Below are 27,348 nucleotides of genomic sequence, written 5' to 3'. Positions count from 1 at the left end.
TTTGAGGGAAGGATCTGGCCCAGGTTTTTTTCCTTGGCTTGTAAATGGCTGTATTCTCGCTGTATCTTTACATTGTCTTCCTTCTGTATATGTATGTGTCCCTATTTCCTCTTTTTGTGAGTGATATTGCATTAGGACCTACCCTAATGACCTCATTTTAACCTAATTACCTCAGTAAAGATCCTATCTCCAAATACAGTCACATTCTAAGATACTGGAGCTTGGGACTTCAACACATAAATTTGGTGGGGGACACAATTCACCCAATAACACCTACTACCCCTACTGTAGAGGAAAAAATAGGTGATCAGGGATAGGTTTGGAAAGGCAGAGAGACTTTGTTGTTTCCTACAAAGGAGTTAAATAAGGTGGTATGATGGAAAGGAAAGAGTATTAGCCACAGAGTCAAATAGTCCCAGATCTGCATTCAAATAATACCACCATTCTAGGGTTATCTTCTCAGGAAAATTTTACAAAAAATAAAATTTCTTCTCTCCCAACCAATAACCTTCTGGGCTGAAGAATTACAGTAACTTCTTATTTATCTGTATTTTCGGAGCAGGACAATTGAACTCTCATCAGTAAAATGAGAGTCTCACTTAGGAAGAAAATTTTTATATTTTGATAGAGATATGATTCTTAAATTTCCCCAGAAAAGTTGATATGTGAACTTATTAAGAAAGCTGTGTCACTTTTCGCTAAGAATTGTCAGCCACTAAGTTTATCAAGCTAATGTACTGAACAGTCAGGTGACTTGCCTTTAATTTGTCATTGTGTTTATGAAAAGCAGAGCTAAAACAGAAGAGAACAAGTTTAGACAGTGACTGTTTTCTTAAACAGTTTTAATAATATTGCTAAATCCAAGTAGACTCTTAAGTTTTTTACATATATTTACTGTAAATATTTCTGTAATAATCAACCATTAAATAATACAGATATTATAAATGATCACCTCATTTCAAACATTTTTTTTTGGCACCAGTCTGCTTGCTAAATATGTATTACCTTTGACATTTAAACCAAAGAGAAGAGATGGGGGAAAAAAAAGACTCCCCATACAGGGATTTAGTGTGTTATTCTTTACTCCCCTGAAAAGCCAATCACTCCAACACCATAGGGAAAAAAGAACGTTTTGCTGCTTCTGTGTCACATCATTAAAGTAGTTAATCTGCAGCCATAAATTTTTGTCTTCTGGGCCAAGAAATTTTAAGTAAAATACTAACAAAAATGTAACACTTTAAATGAGAAGTGAAAGCATCTTTATCCTTTTTATTTGAGTTTCCAGAAATGGCATGCTCCATAAAAAATTGTATCATTTTTATTTTTAAACTGAGTTTCTTGCATTAGTCAGTAAACAATTTATTTAGTGAACATTCTCTGTGCACATATATACACCATGTGAACATTTAAGAAACAGAAGGTGCTTGAATTTGCGAGATTTAAATATTTTCTCACAGTTGATCCAGTGATACTACAGTTGAAATAAAACCATATATAAATGAAATACCACTTTCTACTAAAATGTAAGTGTAGATTTTTTAATTATTGTTTTAATGAGGACAACAACGATTCCATGTATTCAGTGGAACATCTTATAAATCTTTAGCATGTTTACTCTCATGTGCATTCTAAGACTCACCATAAAACTACCTATCCTAATTACAGATATGCATATTCATTTTATTACATTATCTAACTAGACATTTTATATTGCTAATTTTCCTGCAAATATTATTAACTTTTAAAACTATAAGCAATTGTTTGATTTCTCATTTATGTTGTTCTCCTAAAAACGTACATACACATATCAGTATACATATTTTAAGTATATTATTTGAAATATGGGCTATGTAGACCATATGTAATACTCCAGGACACAACAAGCAAAATGATGATACTCACCATAGCAATGTTTGGCCATTTCCCAGACATCCTTGCTGTGGTCCCAAACCAACTCCTGATTTTCCGCCAGGCTCTGCATCTTCATATTCATGTAAGCAGTAACATTGTACCTCTATACTTCATCCTCAGTGACCAAATATCTAATTAGCACCTGTTAAGGGCTAGGCACTAAAGATTCAGAATTAGACAAGAAGCACATAAGCTTGAGAGAGGAAAGAAGTGAGAAAATCAAGGATTACATCACCAAGCGGCCAGTGTTAGAGGAATGGGCAGAGGAACAACACAAAGAAAGGAGCAAAGAACTCAGTGGAAATATATGGAAACATTCTTAAGAACGGGGAACAACGTAAAGGATAACTAGGAGTGGAGCGAGGTGAGGAGAGAGAGAAAGACAGACAGAGAGCAAGAGAGACATGACCAAAAGTCAGGAAGGGGAGGAAAAGTGAAGGGAGTTTATTTTGACTGAAAATCTGGACTGTAATTTGTTACTGCAATAAAGAGTTAAATGTAGTGGTAAAAATACAGCCATAGCCAAAAAGTTATATAGTTCTCAGTATATAATTACTTGAGCCTTCCAAAATGCATGAGAAGAAATATTTTCTTAACATTAAAGATTAATATATCAGTCTTTCAAAAAGACATTGAACAACACAATAGATCATTTATTTAATTGTAGTACGTTTGTTAATGATGTTGTTGTTGTCATTCAAGACAAAAAATAATTCTTCCTGTGACTGGTTTTTATATTGACTTATGTCAAATAGCCTAAGTCATAATACTAAGTTCTAAGGTTCTAACGGCCTTTCTTCCAGGAACTAATGTAATTTAGTACTGGTGTAAAGCTTCTCGATGGTTTGCCTTGGCACCATGGATCAGCAAGTCCAGAGAAATTAATGGTTTAGCAGATCCACTGGCCTGTTCTTATCAAGAGTCAATTGTCTCCATCAGGCTTTTGATTTTAAAAAAAACTGTTAATCAGTTTCTTTAAGTTTATTATAATCTCATAAATAAACTACTGAAAAGTGTTGGAAATTGAAGAAACCACCAGACACAAGACAATCTCTTAAGTAAAAGCCTTCTTGCCTTCATTTGCAAAAACATGTATCTGATTAGAAACTCTGTTGATTATCATGGAACACAGTCAAACTGTTCTGTTCACAGCTCATTATATGAGAGAATGCCTAGCACGATACTGGAGATGAAATAGATATCAATACATTTTTATATCAAACAATTGACTTAAGATAATTCTTCTGCATTTTATTCTCATATGAAATTAAAATGATTGATATACTCCTGGTCAGAATCATTCTGAAAACAACAACAAAAAAAAACCAACCACCTTTGTAAGAATTATTGAAAACTATTTAGGCATAAAGAACAATGCAGTTCTTAATTATACTTTTTTGTGAAATGAGAAAACCGTATATATATATCTTTAGTAATTATTAAGTCCGCTGTTGCTTCCATCTGTGAATACTGAAATCCTTAATGTATATATTGATCCTTATAAAACTTTCTAAAATGAGAGTCCAGTTTCTAAAATGAGTCCATATAAAACTGCAGAATTCTGAAAAGATTCATTTTTCCCCCAAGTCATGCAGACTCACTGGTGTCAGTGGCTATGAATAAACACATGAGTCCTGACACCATACTTTGTTTTTAAATACAAGTGACACTTTTTAGCATAAATTGTTTCAGCAGGTGAATTTTTTTGCAGATAGGCCAAAAATCTATTAGAACCCAGCACTGATAGATCTATTTCTTAAGAATATCTCTTACTTCTGATAATCCCCAAAGTGTATATAATGAAACATGTTAGGTGAATAATTTTGAGAGGTCTGCTCAAGGTAGTGGACTCATGTTTAGTGCATTCCACTGGGCAATTGCCTTTTCAGACCCTTACCATCTACAGAGAAGAGCCAGAAGGTATATACCCTCATAGCTTAAGGTTCCTAAAAGTTAAATATGTTGGAATTTAATAAGAATATTTAGAAAATGGAAGTTAAGTAATTATTCTGAGAACACTGAGGGTTTTTGAGTTATTTGTAACTCAACTTCAGGTAGAATATAGCTCATCCAAATCATAATGCCAGATGAGTTGTTTTCCAACCAGCTCTTAAAATGGTTTACATGTTGTAGTTTAAATATTATATTTTAAAAGGGTTAGTAAATGCTTTTCCAGAATGAATTTTCACATTGTCTTCTGTAAAAGCATGTACTAACCCTGTTATTGTCCAATGCTTCTGCTCTCTTACCCAAGAGAGATAGCTATACCTAGTTTTCAGTTGTTTATGAATACATTGTTTATTTGGGAAATTATCCACAAAAAAACCATAATCTTAGACTAGCTTTTCCTTGTTTCCTGGTATATTTTCTATGCCACTTTTTCCCACTACCAAACTAGTATCTTCTCAGCAAATGCAAACTACTTTTAATTATGCCAGGAAAAACATAATCAGGAGAATAAACTCCCTCTCTCCCACTACCCCTCCTTCCATCATTATTATAAAGTATTAGAAAACTGAATATGAATAACTTTGGATTGCCTACCACTTTTAGTGATCTACAGCATTTACATGGATAATCTAGAAACTTCTTGCCCTTAAACACATATTAGCATTTTAAAATGCCACTATTATAATTTACTGTATAGTAATTTTACATATTCAAATATGTAGACATGAATTCAAACATGAATACATGAATATCAAGCTCATGTTTTAGAGCACTGAAAAAGAAGCTGAATATAATCTACTCATTTCAGTTACTGTACTCTAGTACAGACTCTTCATTTTAAGTTACGTAACCCCAATTCAAGCTTCTTACCAAAAAAGAAAAAGTATTGATTCATGTAAACTGAAAACCCCAGATGTAGATCTACTTCTGGGATCAGTAGATCCTGGGACTCAAACTCTGTCATCCAAACTCCTTCCATCTCTCTTTGTACTTTTCTTTGCCTGTTGGCCTCATTCTTTCTTTCTCACAGAAAGGGCTTTTTCAAACAAACAGGCAGAGTACCTACAGGCAGTCGCAGCAACTTCTATTCAGCATAATCCTAGAGAAACAGCCTTCTCTCTGCCCTAGCATCTAATTATCACTGAAGCCAAAGAGGTCACATATTAGGGCAGGCTGTGATTGGCCAGCCTGAGCCAGTACCCATATCTATGAGGGGGTTGGGGGTAGGGCATGGTATTATAGTTGACAGCCCAGTGAAGACTATATGGAGTTGAAGAGAAATGCTTCCCCAGAGAAGAGTTTTGAATATGTCCACCATCGTCCTTGTGTCAATTTTTCCAGTTTCTTGAAAAATTTAATATACAGGCCACAATTAGATCTCAGGTTTCTGATACAGAGAAAAGAGAAAGTGTAGGATATTGCACATAGGAAGATCCAATATTATAAACACTAGAACTGATCCATCACTTGACTGATGTTCGAATCTATGATTCTGAAATAGACCTCAATGTTAGCACAGTGCCCCAAGTCATTTTTGCTGTATCAACCAATTACCACATAAAGCCTGAGGCCTGCTATGTGGAGGGCCTTCTTGCAGTACTGTTCATTTCATTCAGAACCTGTAATCTCTGACATGAGCCCCCTTATCCACCTACCTATATCCTAAGATAGCTTACTGGCATTGGTACCACAGACCAGGAGGACATGTAAGCATACGGAGACTTAGTCTGTTAGTTCTTCATATTAATCCTATTTTATCTTCTGGTACAACCAATTTAATCTTTTTAAGGGAGAGCTGCTAATATTTTGGGGTTATTCTTACCAGTATTTAATTTCTGTCTTGATCATACTTTCATTTGGTATCTATCTTTTTAACAAGTAACAGTAGATTGTAATAATCTGTTTTATAGAAATTCTTTGGGATTAGCAAGGTCCTTGCATTTGTCATCTCATTTGTTCCTAAGCTTCAGGCAAAGGAATCCCTAAAATCTCATTGATAAACATGTTTTATTTTGAAATTGCAGTGAAAAATAAATATCCAGAACCTAGATTGTTATGCATAAATTATGTTTATATCTAATTAAATTCTTACAATGCTCTTGTTTTTGTTCTTTTCCGCAGTTCTGATTTTCTGTTTTTCATTTCTGAAATAACTTTGTTGCTTATGATTTTCTTGTAGTCTGCCTTAAATCCCTAGTGGAAAGAGATAGGGGTATTAATTCGTCCATAAATTAGTCAAGCAAACTAAAATCACTATACCAGCTACTGTTCTTCCTCTTATATCCTCAGAGAAGGTAGAAAATATACGGTTAATGTTCTTTCAGTGCTTTATGTAGAGCAAACTTATTTAATACAGTAGTTCCCCCCTTATTTGCAGTTTTGCTTTCCACAGGTTCAGTTACTTACAGTCAATCATGGCCAAAAAATATTAAATGGAAAATTCCAGAAATAAACAATTCTTAAGTTTTAAGTTGTGCATCATTCTAAGTAGTATGATGAACTCTTACGCTATCCTACTCTGTCCCTCATGGAACATTAATCATCCCTTTGTCCAGCATATTCACTCCATATATGCCAACCTCCCATTAGTCACTTAATAGCTGTCTCAGTTATTGTATCAGCTGTGGCAGTATCATAGTGTTTGTGTTCACATAATCCTTATTTTACTTAATAATGACCCCAAAGGGCAAGAGTAGTGATGATGGCATATTGTGATAATTGTTCTATCTTATTATTACTTACTGTTGTTCATCTCTTACTCTGCCTGATTTATAAATTAAACTTTATCATAGGTATGTATGCATAAAACAAAACACTGTATATGTAGGGTTTGGTACTATCCATGATTTCAGGCATCCACTGGGGGATAAGGGAGGATTACTGTATCACCTAGTGACTATATTTCAAAATTAGCTTGCTCTCACAAAAACAGTTTCATCATTTGATATATTGATAGAAAAGTCAATTTATCATAAAATATTTTATTTCATTAATTACAAGACATAATTTTAACTAGCTAAAGTTTGAATACATCTTGCAATAAGTGATAAGAAAGCATCATGCCATAGCTTAATTGGCAATGTTTTTCTTTTGAAATGATATAAAAAGCAATGATGAATCTTATAATCAATGGTGTCTTGGATGTGATGACACGTGATACTATAATTGACTGTTACAGGACTTTGTTTCCCCCAAAGAGTTCATTTAAGTCAAGTATCTGTTGGCGGACGTCTTTTGAGAAGACTAGGCTTGGTTTAAAGATTCCCTTTTGTAAAATGAAGTTTCTTTTGGTAATGTTAATTGCTCCCTACTGTGTCTATTTTGCATCATCAGATTTTTGTTAATATATTTCTTAACTCGGAGCACCCTTAGGTTAACAACTCCATTCACCGATCATTTTTACTCTTCTTTTTGCATGAAAAAAAAAAGTGTCAGTGTCATTTAGAAATTAGTAATTTATTTTTAAGATTTAGAAGAAATCTTATGTTTCATTCAAAGCAAAAACAGTCTGATATTAAGAACCTGCAATTCTTATACGTGAAGCTATTTACATTAATCTCAATAATTCAGTTATGACTCTTGCTCTAAATCTCTGTGGTATGTTTCTACTCTGATTTAGTGCCTTGTTTAAAGATTAATGTTACAGAGTAATTTACAGCAGCTTCACAGATGGTATTTGAATCTTTGTAAATGGGCTTTGGAATCCTAGGCACAACTCCATGGAATCTTAGGTTAACATCAATGTAAATGTTGAACTTAAAACAGCTCTAAAAGGTCGTGATAGAAATTTCATTATCCCTTTTTAAAAACCATAAATTTTGACGGGATTTCATGGGCCAAGTATTTTTACTTCACTAGCATCGATAAGGTATAACTAGCTCCTTGTATATGACATCACCAGCCACTGTTTGTTGAAAATAAATATTAAAAAATAAAACAAATTACCTTGTTTTAAACCATTCTAAAGTTCTAGTTACAGAAGTTACTGTTCTTATTTTTACAGCTTCCTTTATGAAATGCTTTATAGAATCCACAAACACACATTGCTTTTAGTGTCTTAGCTTTGATGTCTATAAAAGACCCATTCAAAACTGGAGGTAGGTGCTCCTCATGTGCACAACAGAATTTGGCTGAAGTTATTTGAAGCTATTAGAGATAACCTTTCTCTACATGTCTTTTGGGAGAAAAACTGGTGCCAACAATACCAGTTAAGCTGTAATTAGTGTAACTAACAACTAATATGAAAGAGCAGACTAGAGGTCAGTCTTAAGAATTTAAAGGTATTAACAGGTTAAGGTTGTAGGGCATCCTATCCCCCAGCTTAATCTGTTGCCTTAGCTGGTGAGATTTGTTGAAGTCATCAGTGCCCTCTAACCTTGAGGTGTTGCTCTCTCATAATTTGTTGGTCACATGCCAAGTTCCTCCTTCCTGTCTACTGAGATGACTTTGGGAATGGCAAATTCATTTGAAAGCTCTTGTCACAAATGACTACAGATTTTTAACCTCTAAATGTAAATGAAAGATTATGGTTTAATTTGCTTTAATATTCTTGTCCTACCAGCCTTAGACTACATTGAAATTGTCATTTTACTGCATTATAGAATATGATTTGTTGAGAACATTTAACATGTATTGTAAGAGGAACGCTTAAAATCTAACTATTAAATCAGATGTTGTGTAACTGATTGTTATACATGCTGAATATTCCAGTTTTTATGGGCTACTTCTTCAAATTTAATTGCCCACCGGTGGCTTTTGTTTATGTTTACAGTCAATTCTAATGCAGTTAAAGGATAAGAATGTAACAGAGGAATAACCTCTCGCTTCCATGAGGTGTAGTTAACCCCTTTCTTCTAGTATCTGGCTTTGGCTTCCTTCTCTTATGTGATACCAACACATAAACAAGAGGAATGCCCCAGAACTTTAATCACTCTTTTTCTTTTCCCATTAAAGTAATATATGTAATGTTGTTCCTGTAGTTAGTTTCTACCTAGAAAAGCTAGAAAGCTTTTTTTCTTTTAAAGCAACAGGCAGCAAGATAGCACTATTGAGAAAAAGTCAAAAGGAAACTTTTTCCCTTTCAGCTTTTTATTTTGCAGTCTTAATCTCAGGCTGTCATTATTATGATATACGTTATAGATTTTTTTAAAGTACACATTATTTACTGTGCATAAAGTAAGTTGGAGTAGGTCCCATAACTAAACAAAGTTTTAAGATGAGAAGGATCAAACCACACAACCCCAAAGAAAAGAATATTTTAAATTCAGATTATCTAGGTCACTGAACACACATTAAGGACACATTTAAATACTTTAAGAGCACAGACTTTAAATCCATAGTTCTTATTTAAGTACCCAAAGAAATAATAAAGATGTATTCTTCCCATGAATCCTCCGCCTTCATGTTTTATACACACACCACTGGTGGCTCATAGGTAAACTGTTTTTTATTTTAATAGTTATTTGTTTATTCTAATATGTATTAGAATAACACAAAACCCATGTAGTGGATGTTATTGTTTGGGACTAGGCAAATAGAGAAAGTGAGTTGAGGTGAAGGAAATGCTAGGTATTTTAGTAGTGCTGGTAGTTTCTGCATATAGCAAAATACATAAAAGTGTTACACAAATTAATAGGGAAACAATGCTCTATTGAAACATGAAATTCCTATAATTTTTCTTCTATCCAAGAAGTCATAAGATGCTCTTATCCCTTCATTTCTCCATATTATCTATTTATTGTGGTTTATTTAATTCATGTGTATACTTGGCAGTTTGATCTCTTGTTTCCAGAACAGGCCATCTTCTTTGGACTTTGGTCTTGGATTAGATGATGTCTAAGGCTCCTTCCTGTGAATTTTTAACTTCCTGCAGCAAGATTACTAGTCCTCAGCTAATAAGTTCCTCAACGTTGGGAAACACAGCTATATAATTTGATCTCAGCAATACCTAGCATGATAACAAACCCAAATAATTATTCATGTGTATCCTTATTGATTGATTCACATGTTCTAATAACACATGTTCCTACATGTGCATGTACTTGCCTCAAACTAACAAATATGGTAATTAGTGCATCAATAATTTAAAAACTTTTTTAAAAAAAGAGCAGACTAATGCTACACTTAAAGTTCACACAGACACCAATCTTTTTTCATGCTAGGATTTCCTGAGCAATGACACCAAGCACAGTATTAGAAAGCCTTATTTTTTTGCCCCTTCCATACTATCTTACGATTAACTATGAGAGTAAGACATCAAAGCTGAACTGACTTCAAAGCCTGTAACACTTATGGTTTCCAGCTATTACTGTAACCAGCCGCTTCACCCTGACAGCAATTCATCTTACAGAGCTGCCTCGCTAGGTTCCACCCCTCTGCTTCCTGCCTTCCCCCTTTACAAACCTATCAAATTAAAAACTACCCTTTCAATGAAACTTAAACCAGTTGAGAGAATTAGCCTGTTTCCTTAATCTTAAGATTATACTATTAAAGTAAACTATATTATTCATTTATTCAGTTTTTTCAAAATTGTGCCTTTCACAACAAGGCTTTGGGGTATGTTGACATTAAATATAATGTTTTTCATCCATTTTATTTCAGAAGCAGAATATACACATGAAGGTGGGTATACACCTACCAGTTTAGTTAGGCATCACACAATGAAAAAGAAAACAGTGAGTCTGGCACTTATTTGACTTTTAACAAAGTAAAAAGTAGGAAAACCAAAACACAGATTGCTCATCATAAATGCCTGAAATATAATTACTTTTTAAGCAAGAGAAATAAAGTCTCATGGGTATATAGTTTTCTCACTCTGTTAAAGTTAATATATTAGCATTCGAGCTTGTCTTAGACTTTTAACCAACTCACTACCTTATCACAAGTTACTAACATCTTATGCAGACCAGTTTCTTGGAAAACTATAGAGCTAGTATCAGTTGAAGATTTTCATTTTTTCTCTTAATGGTCCAGTTGAAATTTTTATATTATTGAATTATTTGGCACAGTTGGTGGTAAATGTTCAGTACCACTGGGGGAAAGCATCTCTTGAGACTGAATAAATAGCATCCAGATCTTAAAGATATGACACCGAAAGAACTCAGAGAAGATTTAATGATTTAGCTGATCTTAACCCTGAACTATAGATTAGGTTCTAAATAGACATTATGACAAAGGCTTTGATTGTGGATTATGGAAACTAAAGAGGCCCAATATAATGATTGAATTGTTTTAAGAAATGGAATGGGCTGCATTGTAAACTGGCAAGCTTTCCGTCTTTTGAAGCAGTCAAATGAAGGCTTAATAACCACTTTTCAAGAATTTGATAGAGGGAATTTTTACATTGGATAGATTAGAATAAAGCGTCTTTAATATCTACTTCAATTCTAGGGTTCTATGTTTCTAAAATTAAAGGATATGAGGAAACAGAATTGAAGATTAAGCGATAGCTGTTGACTGCAGTCCAGTAATTAGATGGGTTTTACAAAGAATTCATAAACGGGTATCCTGACAGGATTTGAAAAGGAAACGGCATGACGGCCTGAGCAGATAAGGGAAAACAGCAAAAATGATGCACATCTCTTTTGGTGCTGAAGACTGGAAGAGGAGGAACCTACTCCAAAGTGCTTAGAAAAGTAAGCATAAGGAAAATGAGAAAAGAAGCTCAACAAATTTTCGGAGTGCTGAAATAGAAACCAAAGGATTTTCTATCTGTATTACTTAAAGGAAGGGAACCAAACAGATAGGAAACATGAGATGCTAAAATTTTAGGTTTTGGAGATAGATAGTAGATGGATATTTGGAAATGTTCATTTTGACTTAATAAGCAGTTTCTGCAAGGAAATAATGTGATCACAGCAGCTTGTAAGCATAAGAGCCTAGCACACATGTTTTAACAGGCAGATAAGAAAGGGAGAATCAGAGAATCATCACCTTGAGATGTGGTGAAAAAGTGCATGGAAGATATAATAGTAAAAATAGAAGGAATATGCTGGCTGGAAGTGGTAGAAATGTTATCTGTGGCAAATTTAATTGATTGTTCTCCCCAGTTCTGTTTTGAGGAGCATAATAATTGCAGAGGACTAAAAAAGCACATGGTGAGTGCAAAAAGATGAGAATGACTAACCTATATGTGGCTTCGGGCCAGTTGAACGTCTCTGGATCTGTAATCTTTTAAATATTAGATGGTTAGGTAGATGATTTCTATACTTTCCAGCTCTAAGATTCTTTTCTAATGCTTTAATTCAGACAGAATTAAATAAGCACCCTATAGCCTAGGAGCTCAAACAGATCAAATGTTTCAGCTTGTAACAGCTGGTTTATTTTGGCCTACAGACAACAGCCATGGTAGAAAACTCAGGATAATTTTATGAAGGTTTTGACATTTTAAGGAATATAAAAGTTATGGAGAAATCTCCTGTGTGGGCAGGCAAGAAGTGAGGATATCCAGTGATGCTGCAAAAATGAAGGAGTGCTAGAAAAAGTTAAGATGAGCTCCACCCATTGAGTTTAAAGAAATGATAGGATGTCTACAGAAGACATCCAAGAGAGAGCTGTCAGTGTTGCCTAAAGAATGGAAATCAGGCATCTGCATCAGGAGTGAATCAGTAGGTTTGATTTATTGGCAGTAAAGTGATAGGGAAATCTCATTAATAGATGGTTTCCAGTGAAATAGAAAGAGGTACTACCAAAGAACCTTTAGAGAGATGAGAAAAAAGCTAGGAAACATTAAATAAATAAAGGTAGAAAAATAATCTGAATCACTCTTTAGCCAAAAATCAGTAACATGTTAAGGTATGACTTCTCATTAGGAAGCCACTCCTTAGAAGTAAAATGGACAGACGTTGTTGTTGTTGTTGTTGTTACAATTAGACATTTTTCAGAAGTGATAAGTCTTTCATTTCCTGGGAACAAATTATATATTAGGGCCTTACAAGTAACTGGGGATTATGTATGACTGTTAATGTAGTTGCAGACATTAAAGAGTCTACTTTAACATACATTACATTATGATTTGTATGCCTTGATATATTTTTTCTCCACGTTCTGTTATTCTGAGTTTTGGATACAAAAAACTTCCTATCACTATTCTGAGCCATACTTTTTTTTTTGCTGAGACGGAGTCTCGCTCCATTGCCCAGGCTGGAGCAGTGGCACAATCTCGGCTCACTGCAAACTCTGCCTCCCGGGTTCACGCCATTCTCCTGCCTCAGCCTCCCGAGTAGCTGGGACTACAGGCACCCGCCAACACACCTGGCTAATTTTGTTTTGTATTTTTGGTAGGGGTTTCACCATGTTAGCGAGGATGGTCTCGATCTCTTGACCTCGTGATCTGCCCACCTCGGCCTCCCAAAGTGCTGGGATTACAGGTGTGAGCCACCGCGCCCAGCCGAGTCATACTCTATTTTGAAATAAGAATATTGGCCAGGCGGGGTGGTTCACTCCTGTCCCAGCACTTGGGAAGCTGAGGTGGGTGGATCGCGAGGTCAGGAGTTCGAGACCAGCCTGACCAACATGGTGAAACCCCGTCTCTACTAAAAATACAAAACTTAGCCGGGCATGGTGGTGCGCACCTGTAATCCCAGCTACTCAGGAGGCTGAGGCAGGAGAATCGCTTGAATCCGGGAGGTGGAGGTTGCAGTTAGCCAAGATCATGCCACTGCACTCCAGCCTGTGTGACAGAGCGAGACTCCGTCTCAAAAAAAAAAAAAAAAAGAATATGAATTATACAGAAATAATCATTTATAGCAACATTAATATCAGGAATTTATGCCTATTCTTTTTTAAATGCTGCCTTAATCTACGAGTGAAATTCGTCTTATAAATGACATATTAATAGAAAGTTAGGAACAAGTGCAGTTCTCTGAGTATGTTTTATATCACGGTTTATACCTTCAGTACTCATCAGTAACATACTTTTTTCAGCTGTCATTAATCCATTTACCTCTGGTTATTAGAATGAAGAGAAATTACCAAAGAATTTTTCACAAGTGTAAATAAATTCCTCTGCGTATGTGTATTGTTGCACTTTTCTCTTTTCTATGTATATGGCCCTTTTAAAGATTCCAAAGCCAACTCTTCCTTTACTTTAAAAAAAAAAAAAAAAAAAAGCAACTGTGGTAACAGTTCTGAATAGTTTGGCTGAACTCCAACTTTCTGGTTGTTTTGCCACACACAGTTCCACAGCGCTGAGTTGAGAAGGCAGAAGTGGCACCGCTTGGTGCTGACCTATTGGTCATGACCACTCCTACCTCATTCTCAGCATTTTCATCCTAATCTACTTCCACACATAATGTACTTCTGCAGCAGTAAAAGACGATGTAAAATCTAGAATCAATTAACCAATGCAGTAGCTCAGGATCCACTGGGATTTTTTTCTTTGTGTTATACTTTAAAGCATTTGCTCAATAGATACCATCTCATCATATATTTCACATATGAAAAGAGAAATTAGAAAAAAAGTCTCCAAAACCTAAATTAAATATGTATATCAAAGTATTATCATAAATAGTATACATTCTTTGATCTAAAGAATATACAGTAGTACTTCATCCTTCATCAAGAAAAAAAAATATGCCTCTGAATGGCTGATTATACTATGCACATTGAATCAGAATGTCAGAATCTTCTAAATAAATTGTTATTATGGAATAAGGCAGAACTTCAACTCTGAATTTATATAATTCATTCCATTGTAGATTTTTTTTCAATTGAAGAATACATTTCTCAGCCATAAATTGTACTGAGTATGAACAGCAGAGTCATTTGAGGTTGATTGAAAATATAGGAGAACATCATGTTTCCTGTCCTTTTGTTAAACTTGGCATATTGATTTTTTTTTTTTTTTTTTTTTTTTTGCACAGCTTATAGTACAGAAATGTGATATACAGCTATGGCAAGACAAACTAACCACATGTGAATTTGTTAAGTACTGCTGGTTTAGCAGAAATTGTCTGACTGTGCAAATAGCAAGATTTGACTTTTCCAGGAACTCTTTATGACTTAATCAATTAAAATAACAAGTTTTGATTTTATTGCTCAGAATAAATCATTAGCAAAACTCATTTTCTCTTGATCACTCATTTGTAGGATGTTTACATTCATTTTGCTTCTGTATTTCAAGCAAAGTAATAAATATGTAGAACTTGAACCAAAAGTTCAAAGTCAAATACAGGAAGATAAAGATGTAATAAATGTTATCTCTTAATAGTAGTTTATAAATTTTGCTGAGAAGAATATTCTAGATTTTTATTTAAATTTGCCATTGCTATTCTTTCTTATTCTCTTTAGTGTTCATGATTTTGTTCTCTTTAGACTCAAAGGTAGCAAGATTTATACGTGGCTAATACATCTTTCTGCATTTAAATATAGAATCTTGTAGAGGGTCTCTGAAGTAGGACTAGTTTGCTCTTCTCTTCACCTTATTAAACCTCCTTCGTAAATACATCTATTATATAGTTTACCTTGCCCAGCTTCAAAGAGTAGAGATGGAGAAATGATGAGCTATCACTCAGCAGAGAGGGTTCCCATGGTTTCTTAGAAATGCTAATGTGTTACCTATCATGTTTATAAAGTTCTCTGAAGCAGATAAGCCATTGTGTGGTTTTCTGCAAAACAAAACTGACAGTCTGTCTAAAGCTAGGAAGTGTCCATAATATTGTGTACATGTGATAATGTTGTCACCTGCCTTTTGTGAAAATACTTCCTTTAAAAAATCTGTCTCTAAATGTAAATTTCTTTTCTAACAAGCATTTTTTTTTCAAAATTTTCTCTACATGTTCTCATTTCTTTTAAAGAAGTGGACATCTTAGGAAATTGCGTGCCAAATTTATTAGGAACAAGTCTTTCAAAATTATCTGGTAAAAGCAAAAAGCATGAGTTGTTTCCCTAATAAAAAAAAAAAAAAAGGCGGGGGAAAGGATCAGTGCAAAGAAGAAAGTGCCACTGGTTTGTGTTAGGTGACACTGTGCCCTGCTTGTCTAATTTGATTACACAGAGCCCCTGAAGCCTCAGGCAAAGCTGATTTTAGCTATAATCAGCTTCTTAACCTTTTGAGAACTAACGTAAACACTACCTACCAGTGGTTAATTATGGTGCTCTGCTGCACACTACAAAGTGCAAAGGTAAAAGTGTAGAACTGCAGTAACACATGTTATGACAAAATTTAACAAGATGACTTAAGGGGACTGCATCAGAATGCAGTTGTGTATTTGTAATAAATTTTAAATTAATAAAGAGTCTTAAAGGTGCTTTAAAAAAATTTAGCTATAGTTTTTGCTTAAGTTCTATCCGTAAGTGCTAAATACTCACGTACTACTTTTTCCTGTTTGCTGTCCTCACGTTTGTACTTTTCTCTGAAATCCTCTTTTGATTATATATACATTTTAGAAAAAAAGTGTATTTGTAGATTTTTTTCACAAAAGTAGTTGTAATGTACATATAAGTAGAGTACAATCCTCTTGTTTCACTTTTATAGATAGTAAAAGTTAATTAAGGGAGGAATGGAATTTCTTTATAATTAAATGGAATATTGTGGATATATAGGCAAGAACCTAAATTTTTTATGTAAAACAGGAATTCTTGATGCAGGGATCTGATGTGCCATATGGGAAATTAATATGTAAGATGATTTTACTGTCTATAGTTGGTGTAACTCCGGTGCAGTGATATGACTAATGGGGTAAAGAACCATAAAGATTGAATAATGTACTTATCAAGACTAGATCTTCAAAGTCATATTTATTGGGAAAGCTCCAATAGGAATATTCTCCTGTGTAAGAGTTGCAGGTGACCAGGAGACTATGTGGAGCCATAAGCCATAGCCCTTATTGGTGGGTCTCAGTACCAGCAATTTTACCTGAAATTTCATGCCTTGTAAAAATTCTGAAGGGTAGAATCTTAATGCACTCCAGTGACACACATTAGAAACAATCACCCTGTGTGGAATTAACTTAAAATGAGGGGAAGGAGAAGGTTCAAACTAAAAATCATCTATAATTTTTTTTAATCTAAGATCACTTTCTAATAAGTAATGTGAATATGTGATTATGCAGTGTAGTTCATCTGCGCTTACAGTGAGCTTAAAAATTGCATGTAAAGAAATGGATTTGTAGAAGGGAGGCTTTCAGAGTTTCTGAAGTGTTGGGAAGCATATTTGCACCTGGCAGCACCACCAGTCCATTTGGCCAAACTTGGTCATGTGGTGAATAAAGCTGACCTTGTTAATAAATAATTTAAACTCATTAACATAAATGCCACCTAAAAGGAGTTCAGATGCATTTAGTAGCCACATATAATACTATGGGATAAATGAAGCCAGACATCAAATAACTGGACATCTTTGGCCCTTGCAGAAATGTTTTAACGAATTGTATTTCTGTTTTGTAATCAGCTTGTTAAAAGAAAATGATATGAAACTGCATGTTACAGATGTTACAGATACCTTTTAGACAAAGTGCTTTTTATTTTTTGGCACATATTACAAAAAAATATATTTTTCCAGCATCCTAGTATAGTTGCAGGGAACTACTAAAGGCTGGAGGCCACAGGCACAGGGCTTTAGCTGCCCCTAGTCCTATTGGCCCCTGAGGGCTGAGGATCACTATCTCCTCACCCCTGTAAACCATTCAGGGCTCACCATGGGGAGAGGGCTGCTATTTTAAAGGGAGTAGTTCCCTATATTTCATGAGGTCCTCTCTTAGGAGGACCCACAGGAGAAATCTTCCCTAGAATTCAGTGCTTCACCAGTTCACCAGTTGTTTCTTTTTATCTTATGGACAATGAAAATTTTATAGTATGTTTTTACAGTGAGAGTGTAGATATCTCCTCAATATACTGACTGCCTTTCTTTGGGGCATATACCTAGCAGTGGGATTGCTAGATCATATGGTAGCTCTATTTTTAGTTTTTTGGGAACCTCCACAGTGGTAGTGTTATTTTACATTCCCACCAACAATGTACAAGGGTGTCCCTTTCTCCACATCCTTGTCAAAATTCATTATTGTCTGTCTTTTGGATATGAGCCATTTTAACTGGAGTAAGATATCTCATTGTAGTTTTGATTTGCATTTATCTGATGATTAGTGATATTGAACTTTTTTTTATGTACCTCTTGGCCATCTGTATGTCTTCTTTTGTGAAATGTCTATTCAGATCTTTTGTACATTTTTAAATCGGATTATTAGATTTTTTTTTTCCTAATGAGTTGTTTGAGCTCCTTATATGTTCTGTTTATTAATCTCTTGTCAGATGGGCAGTTTGCAGATATTTTCTCCCATTCTGGGGATTGTCACTTTGTTGATTGTTTCCTTATCTGTGCAATGTCTTTTAAACTTGATCTGACACCATTTGTCCATTTTTGCTTTGATTGCCTGAATTTTTGAGCTATTACTCAAGAAATCTTTTCCCTGTCAAATGTCCCGGAGACTTTCCCCAATGTTTTCTTTTTGTAGGCTCATAGTTTTGGCTCTTAGATTTAAATCTTTAATCCATTTTGATTTGATTTTTGTATATGGTGACAGATAGGGGTCTAGTATCATTCTTCTGCATATGGATTTCCAGTTTTCCCAGCACCATTTATTGAGGAGACTGTCCTTTCCCCAGTGTATGTTCTTGGCACCTTTGTTGAAAATGAGTTCAATGTAGATGTATGGGTTTATTTCTGGGTTCTCTATTCTGTTCCATTGGTCTATGTGTCTGTTTTTATGCCAGTACCATGTTGTTTTGGTTACTATAGCTCTGTAGTATAATTTGAAGTCAGGTAATGTGATCCCTTCAGTTTGGTTCTTTCTGCTAGGGATGGCTTTGGCTATTCCATGTCTTTTGTGGTTCAATATAAATTTTAAGATTATTTCCTCTATTTCTTGAGTGGAATTCTTTTCTTATTTCAATTTTGAATTGTTTATTGCTAGTTTGAGAATTAAAATTGATTTTTGCATATTGATTCTGTATTTGTGACCTAGCTAAAACTTGTTTTAGATTTTTTTAATAGAATCTTTAGGATTTTCTACATACAGGACCATAACATCTATGACTAAAACCGTGTACATCTTCCTTCTTAATATATATGCCATTAAGTTCTTTTCTTGCCTTACTGTACTGGCTGCAACCTCATGTACAATGTTGAACAGGAATAATGAGAGCAACTGTAGATTCTGATTCATTTGCCTTGAGGATCTTTGTTGCTGCTTCTGGTCTTTTGTTTTCTTCTGTTTTTAGAAACTTACCTGGACTTAATCTGCAGACTCCCCTCTTCAAAATGTAGATGTTGATAGCTTGGTGGGTTTTTTGTTTTGTTTTGTTTTGTTTTCAATTTTAATTTTATTTTAGGTCAGCTCCTAGATAATAACCTCTTTGCCTACATAGCCTAATGGTCAGAGTTTTTGTTCAATCACCCCAAGCTAGTAAGACTCTGTGGATGGATCCGTGTTTGAGTTACAGAGCCTATTCAAAGTTTCCAAGTCTGCCCTAGCTTTCCTTCTCTACCAGGCTATCCTGGGACTTCCGTCCCAGCACTCATCCTCTCAGTCAGCTAGGAATGTGCGGGAGTTCATCTAGTCTCTCAGCCTCTCACTCATTTCCAGAATCTCCCTGTTGAATTTCTAGCTAGTCTACTGGTCTACCGCTCGCCCCAAGCAAGACCACAACCTCAGACTAGCAGGGCCGGGGCTTTTGTGGTTGGTTTCCCACTGAATTTGCTTTACTTGAGGATAACATGATTGGGCATGGGTTTCTGTCCTTCTACTGTAAATCAAGTCAGCCCCTTCTAGCAGCGAAGCTGCAGGTTTTCACAGCCAATCATGCTCTGGAAGCACTGCTGTGCTACCGAGCTGCTCGCCACAGATTGCCACTGTCCTTACCTGTAATACAGCAGATTTCCTTGAATAAACATTTCTCAGTTTGTTTTTTTGCTTTTGGTTGATTTCTGGAGTGCTGAAATGGTTGTACTTGACAATTTTGCCACCTTTTTAGTTGTTCAGTGGAAGAGGATTTGCCAACTTCTTCACTTGCCATCTTCGGAAGTCCTGCCTGGGTTCATTTTTGTACATCCCCAAACCCTTTATGGAACAAGATGAAAGAGCAAACAAATAAAATAAAACAGAAAAGTAACTGAGGGTAAAGGAAACATAAAAATAGGAAAATAAATTTTTTATGGAATAACAATAATTTTTAACTCTTATGACAGATGTTCCCAGTGTGTGTAGGAATACAAGTTCTCTTGATATTACAATAGAGTTTTACCCCATCAGAAATTTTTTTTAAAAAATTCAAATCACCCTTGGCAACTTGTCATTGAGATGTGAAATGGGGTGGGGGGAGATATGTATGTGACCAAAAAAAAAAAAACAAAAAAAAAAATAGAACCAGTTGGATCAAAATGCTACCCTAGGATCCTTTTTGTTTCATTTTATTTTGTTTTCTCCCAAAGGTCAGATCCTAAAATTTGTATAACTTTAGGCTGTAGGAATGCTTTCAAAAATGTGCAGTGGTAAAACTGCCAGATTGAAGGTTTCTTAAGTGCTACTGTCCAAAATCACCAGGCATGCTTGAAACTAGTAATTCTTGTCAGAATATACACTCTCAGTGTGTGACTTTTATCTGCAGGTGGCAGAGCATATGTTTTAGCACCAAAAAGTGTAAGGTGGCAGAGGGAGGATATTTAATGTGTTGTAACCTATTTTTATTTTTAATTTTTTTTCTTATAGCTGCTTAGTTCAGGTCAAAAGCAGACTAACTAAAATGTTTGCAGATCGTAAGGGCTATATTTAAATTAAGGGAAAAAATATTCCAAATAAAGTTGTGTCATTTGTTTTTATTTAACATATGAATCAAAGTTATTGAACCAGTATTTTCCCATAAAAGAAAAATACATTGGTTCCTTATGTAACTGAACTGTAGGGAGTGGGCTCATCTCTTTAAATAGATTTTCTGGTTAAATTCTAGTTACCCTTTAAATACTACAGTCACCTTTATTTTTATTCCTTATAACAATCAATTTTTCTAATTTAGGAAATAGCTATGTGTGTGTGGCTTGCAATTAGATATGGTTAGCAAATATCACTTAGTATTTTCTGACTGATGTAGCTCTTACTACATGATTCAGTCATCATTTTGTACATTAATCATAATCAGGACTTTAGCAGAAGGGCAGGAGTTGGAAATTCAAACCCCAACTGATTGGTGACATGGAGGAATGCAAGCCCAGTGTTGTCAGATTTCCCGGTTTTCCCAAAGAAGTTAAAAGTCTCAATATTTATTTCACATTTCTATAATTTTAACCGTTGCAACTAACTAAAAATTTTTAAACTATTAAAGGGGTCAAATAAAATGGCAGCCATTTATATCGGGCCCATAGGCTACCAGTTTACCTGTTCTGATGACACCCTCGGGCTGATCTCTTATTGTGTAACTCTTGCTCATTAAAGAATGCATAACATGCTCCTGAAATGGTTGTCTTTACTGTGTTACTGTAAAGTTCTGAGGTAATGTGTTTTACTGGAAAATGCACTGAATTAGACATCCAACAACCTTGATTCTGAAGCTAAGAATATTTCTTAAGCCCTTCCTGTATTAACTAGGCCCTGGTATAAGCACTTATATGCATTAACTCATTTAATTATAGCTTTAGTTTTGCTTCTTAAAAGTTTTATACTGTGAAGTCAATCATTTAACTTCTATGGGTCTGTTTCATCACTTGAAAAATTATAGGGTTGGAAATACATATATATGTGTGTGTATACATGTATGAGGTTAGATTCAATGGAACAAAAATAAATTGTCAACTAGACTATGGTTCTAATTTCTATGGATTTATAGCACCTTATTCTATGTAACACAATAAAACTAAATATATATAATCTGCAATTTATTTTCTTTTTATTTATTTATTTATGGTTTTTTTTTTTTTTTTTTTTTTTTTGTGACAGAGTCTCACCCTGTCACCCAGGCTGGAGTGCAATGGTGCAATCTTGGCTCACTGCAACCTTCGCCTCCTGGATTCAAGCGATTCTCCTGCCTCAGCCTCCCAAGTAGCTGGGATTACAGGTGCACACCTCCACGCCCAGCTAATTTTTGTATTTTTAATAGAGATGGGGTTTCACCATGTTGGCCAGGCTTGTCTCGAACTCCTGACCTCGTGATCCACCCTCCTCAGCCTCCCAAAGTGCTGGGATTACAGGTGTGAGCCACCGCGCCTGGCCCTCTGCAATTTATTTTCTTTAACCAATATCATACTATGAAGATTTAAATTAAGTTGAGAAAGAATTTTAGTATCTACCAACCATGGGGTAAAAAAATCTGGGACCCTGTCTTGGAGGACCTTATGATTTCATTGAGGCAATGTAGCATGCAAGTAAAATGCATTGTTCCTCAGCTTTATTGGGGCATAATTGACAAAAATTGTATATATTCAAGGTATACAACATGGTGATTGACATGTGTATACCTTGTGAAATGATTACCACAATCAGTCCATATTAATTCCATTACATAGTTACCATTTGTGTGTGTGGTGGGGTGGGGGTGGGTGGTAAGAACACTTACCATCTACTTTCTTAGCAAATTTCAAATATATAATACAGTAGTTTACTACAGTCACCATAGTGTACATTAGATCCCCAGAACTAATAAATCTTATACCTAAACTTTATATCGTTTAAATTTAAATTTCAAGTTACAGCAGAAAATAGGTACCCAGATGAGAGGGTTACACACAAGTGCTTTAACTATTCCAAGGCTAATGGAATAAATGTATAAATATGTGTGGTGTGTTTATGGAAGACAGGACTTGGAAAAAAGAAGATGAATTGGAAGGTGCAGAGCGAGGTTCCCCAACCCAGAGGCCATGGACCAGTACTGGTCCCTGGCCTGTTAGGAACTGGGTCACACAGCAGGAGGTGAGCGGTTAGCAGAGAGCCAGCATTACCACCTGAGCTCCGCCTCCTGTCAGATCAGCAGAGGCATTAGATTCTCATAGGAGCGGAATCCTGCTGTCAACTCCACATGCGAAGGATCTAGGTTGAGCTTCTTATGAGAATCTAACGCATGATGATCTGAGGTGGAACAGTTTCATCCTGAAACCATCCCCCACTCCCCATGTGTGGAAAAATTGTCTTCCACAAAACCAGTCCCTGATGCCAAAAAGGTTGGGGACTGCTGATGTAGGGGACCCTTCAAGGTGAAACAATAACTCAAAGTCATACATGAGACTGTTATCATACCAAAGAAATAGAAAACATGTCGCCTTCCTAGAGCTTATAGTATAGTGAGGAATTTTACAGAAAAGTCAAGATAATTATAGTGCCTTTTTAAAACTTTTATGAAGGTGGATGACTATAATTTTAAAAATGTATCCCAATATGACTCTTGTGACTTTGGCATTAAATTCAAATACATGAGGTGCAGTTGTTAAATTATTTTTGTTTGTAGCTCTCAAATGATTCAGAGGAAAAAAAATACATGTACAGGGAATGAAAGAGATGAAATGAATGTGGCAAAATGTTAACAATTATTGAATCTAGGGGAAAGGCATATGGGCATTCATAGCACTACTGAAACTCTTACACGTTTAAACATTTTTACAATAAAAGTTGAGGAAAGGAGTAAATGGGTAGAGAAGAGATTAAAGTAAAAGTCTTCCAAATAATTTAAAGATCAACAAAGAAATTTAGAAAATACTGGTCGAGCGCGGTGGCTCATCCCTGTAATCCCAGCACTTTGGGAGGCCAAGGCGGGTGGATCACCTGAGGTCAGGAGTACAAGACCAGCCTGGTCAACATGGCAAAACCCCTTCTCTACTAAACATACAAAAATTAGCCAGGCGTGGGGGCGGGCATCTGTAATTCCAGCTATTTGGGAGGCTGAGGCAGGAGAATTTCTCAAACCCAGGAGGCAGAGGTTGCAGTGAGTCGAAATCTCACCACTGCACTCCAGCCTGGGTGACAGTGTGAGACTCCGTCTCAAAAAAAAAAAAAAAAGAAAGAAAAAAGAAAAGAAAAGAAAAACTTTTTAGTGTAGCTAGATTACTAAACAGAGAAATTTGTACCCTTGTATACTTATTTTAAAAGAATAAATGCCAAAAAATAATGAATTTTTTAATTTAAAAAATTGAGTATAATATTAAAAATTAAGTGTAACATAATGATTATTGTACAAGTACATAACTAGATGCTTTATGAATATTTGGTAAACTTACTTCATTTCAGACTTCCCCAATCTTACCAAGTAGATCTTGCATTGTATTATGTAGGCGAGAAAACCTGGCTGCTTTTGGACATCGTGAAAAGTAAATACAAAAAAGTAAATCCTTTATTTTTTGCCAATTTAATCCTTACATTTCAGTAAAATTTTGTTGACAACACTTCTAAAGCAAAACAAACTTGTTCAGCCTCCCAATGAATTCTGGGCAAAGAAAGTTTATTTTCCCATTTTTCCTTGTCTTGTTTTGCCAGAATTATAAATACTGTATAGACTTATGAGAATATTCATAACTATCCAGATGATTAATTTCCCACTTATTGAGGCACAGCCTACTCAAACACACATGGATATATTATGAGTTTAAAAAAGAGCTCTTATGATCATATCCAGTGTTTAATTTCAGTAGAAATTGATTTCATTAGTGTCTTTCTTTACTAGAATCATAATAAATAAAGTGAAAAAGAATCCTGGCCACTTTTTTTTTTTTTTTTGACGGAATCTTGTTCTGTTGCCAGGCTAGGGTGCAGTGGCGCAATCTCAGCTCACTGCAACATCCACCTCCTGGGTTCAAGCAATTCCCCTGCCTCAGCCTCCCGAGTAGCTGGGACTGTAGGCATGAGCCACCACGCCTGGCTAACTTTTTGTATTTTAGTAGACACGGGATTTCACCATGTTGGCCAGGATGGTCTCAATCTCCTGACCTTGTGATGCGCCAGTCTCGGCTGCCCAAAGTCCTGGGATTACAGACGTGAGCCACCGTGCCCGGCCTCCTGGCCACAATTTTTATGGAAATACACATAACATGAAATTCACCATTGTAGCCATTTAAAGGAGCACAGTTCAGTAATTTCCAGTATATGCGCAGTGTTGTAGCCATCACCACTGTTTAATTCTGGAACATTTTCATCACTCCAAAAAGAAACTTTAGACCCATAAAGCAATCACTCACCATTCTCTCCTCCTTTCAGTCCCTGGCAACCACTAATTTGCTTCAGTGATTCTGTGCATTTGCTATTCTGAACATTTCATATAAATTGAATCACAGAATATGTGGCTTTTTGTGGCTGGCTTCTTTCATTTAGCATAAGCTTCTCAAGACTGAACCATGTTGTAGTATGTATCAATTCTTTATTACTTTTTATTGCCAGATAATATTCTATTGTATAGATACACCACATTTAGTTTGCTCATTCATCAAATGAAAGACATTTGGCTTGTTTTCACTTTTTGGCTACTATGAATCATGCTGCTATGAACATTCATGTATAAGTGTTTGTTTGAACATCTGTTTTTAATTTTGTGGGTTCTATACCTATAAGTGGAATTGCTGGGTCATATAGTAATTTTCTGTTTAACTTCTTGAGGAATTATCAATCTGTTTTTCTAGCCATATTTTTAATGTAAGGTTAAAAGGCCAGTTTATGGGAAAAGGGCATTATACGTTAAGAACTTCCAATCCCCAAACCCCCATTTAAAAATTTAGCAAGTAATCTCAAATACAATGTTATTTGAGTTGAAATTTCTCTTTTGACATTACTAATCATTTCTCTGCAAGCTTAATTGAGTTTTCAGTGAAGGGCATTTACTCTATGCTCTCTGACCAATAGTTGCTTAATTGAAGTGTATGTGGAGGACTGGTAACCAGAATTTGAGCTTTTGAATACACATATACAAAGTCTTTATACATATATATATATATATACACACACACACACACACACACACACACACACACACACACACATTTTTTCCCAATTTTTTCTTCAGTTAAAGAGGACAAATGCTTTACCCTACAATTTAGAAGCATAATGTCAGGAAGTTTCAGACCTTAATCTGATGCGCCTTAAAATAGTTATAAATTAGGGAGGTGTTCTTCTCAATAACTATGTTTTAAATTTGCCAGTGTGTCCCTGAAAAAAGATCAACAAATCTCCGTTAAAATCTGTGCCAAAATACTTCTCAAGAACTGCTAGCCCTCTATATTTAAAATGTTTGCACCATTAAAATTTCAGGAAGTTTGAGAATTTCTTAAGACATTAAAATATTGGACCTTTTAAAATACTAAGTGAATTACATATATGCCTTGAGATTTTGGCCTATGGTTAACTTTCCCCATGGAGCTGAAATATTTTGTGCTTGGAATTAAGCCAAATCTCCCACTTGCATGCATTTAACTTATGTTGCATGCATCCAAGTCCTGGCATTTGAATGGTCTTTTTTCTTTATCTGAATGCTTTCTAACTTGAGGGAAAATGATACTTTCCTTTTAAAACTTGCCTCTCTCCTCTCCTTCCCCTCTTTACCCAAAGCAGATGTCTTTATACTATGTACCTACAGTCCTGTGAGGAAAGCAGGCATCTTGATATTTTCCAACACGAGAGGATTGATTGCCCTTGAATACCCCCAAGGCCTGGGGGATTTATGGATGAGCTGTAGTGAGTTATATGAACCCTTTGAAATTCTGTGTCGAATTGGTAGATTAGATACAATTAGTATATGTGGTGGAGAATCATAGCTCTTCTCATATTCTCAAAGGGGTAAATAGTCCCCAAAAAGTGAAGATCTGATGGTTCTAGCAGTGGCCTGGAGAGCAAAGGGGACACACTCCGTGTGGTACCACTGACACATTGGATGGTGTGTGATTAAATCAGGTGTATGTTTCAGTCAGGCTTTCCACTGCAGAGCCAGAGTAATAGCAGTGCTAAGGGAGTAGCAGAGAATCAGTGATGCCAGGGTTACTAGTTTTTCTTGTTTGGGGTTTTCTGTTTGTTTGTTTTGGGGGGTGGTTTTGAGACAGGGTCTCGCTCTGTCACCCAGTTTGGAATGCAGTGGCATGATCAAGTCTCACTGCAGCCTTGACCTCCTGTGCTCAAGCGATCCTCCCCTCTCAGCCACCCAAGTAGCTGGAACTACAGGTGCATGCCACAAGGCCCAACTAATTTTATTTATTTTTGTTTTGTTTTGTAGAGACAGAGTCTCCCTATGCTTGTAGGCTAGTCAAGTGATCCTCCCGCCTCAGCCTCTCACAGTACTAGGATTACAGGCAAGAGTTATAAGTTTGTTGCAAGTCCACTACATACTTGGGCAGAAATAATAAAAAGAACCATTTCTCCTGTTGGCATACTGGCCTTTCCCATCATCTCATACTTAACAGTCCTTATTTCTAAAAGTAAAAATAAACCTTTAAGAAAACCTATCATTATCTTTAATATTTTGTTGATCTTCCCTCAGATGCACATCCCCTAGCAGGTAACCTTTGCCTTCTTTGAAGCCATTTTGAGTCATCATGCA

At 35.6% G+C, this 27,348-nt stretch overlaps 1 protein-coding gene across 21 annotated transcripts in view; it reads left to right on the top strand.

Moving 5' to 3' along the window:
* ARB2A (ARB2 cotranscriptional regulator A) overlaps window positions 1-27,348 on the top strand; it is a 493,975-nt gene that overhangs the window by 380,289 nt on the left and 86,338 nt on the right. The window lies entirely within an intron of this gene.

This window comes from Homo sapiens, chromosome 5, assembly GCF_000001405.40.
Source record: "Homo sapiens chromosome 5, GRCh38.p14 Primary Assembly".
NCBI classification, from domain to species: domain Eukaryota; kingdom Metazoa; phylum Chordata; class Mammalia; order Primates; family Hominidae; genus Homo; species Homo sapiens.
Note: the sequence above shows the minus strand (reverse complement) of the source record. Positions and strands in the feature narration are given on the sequence as shown.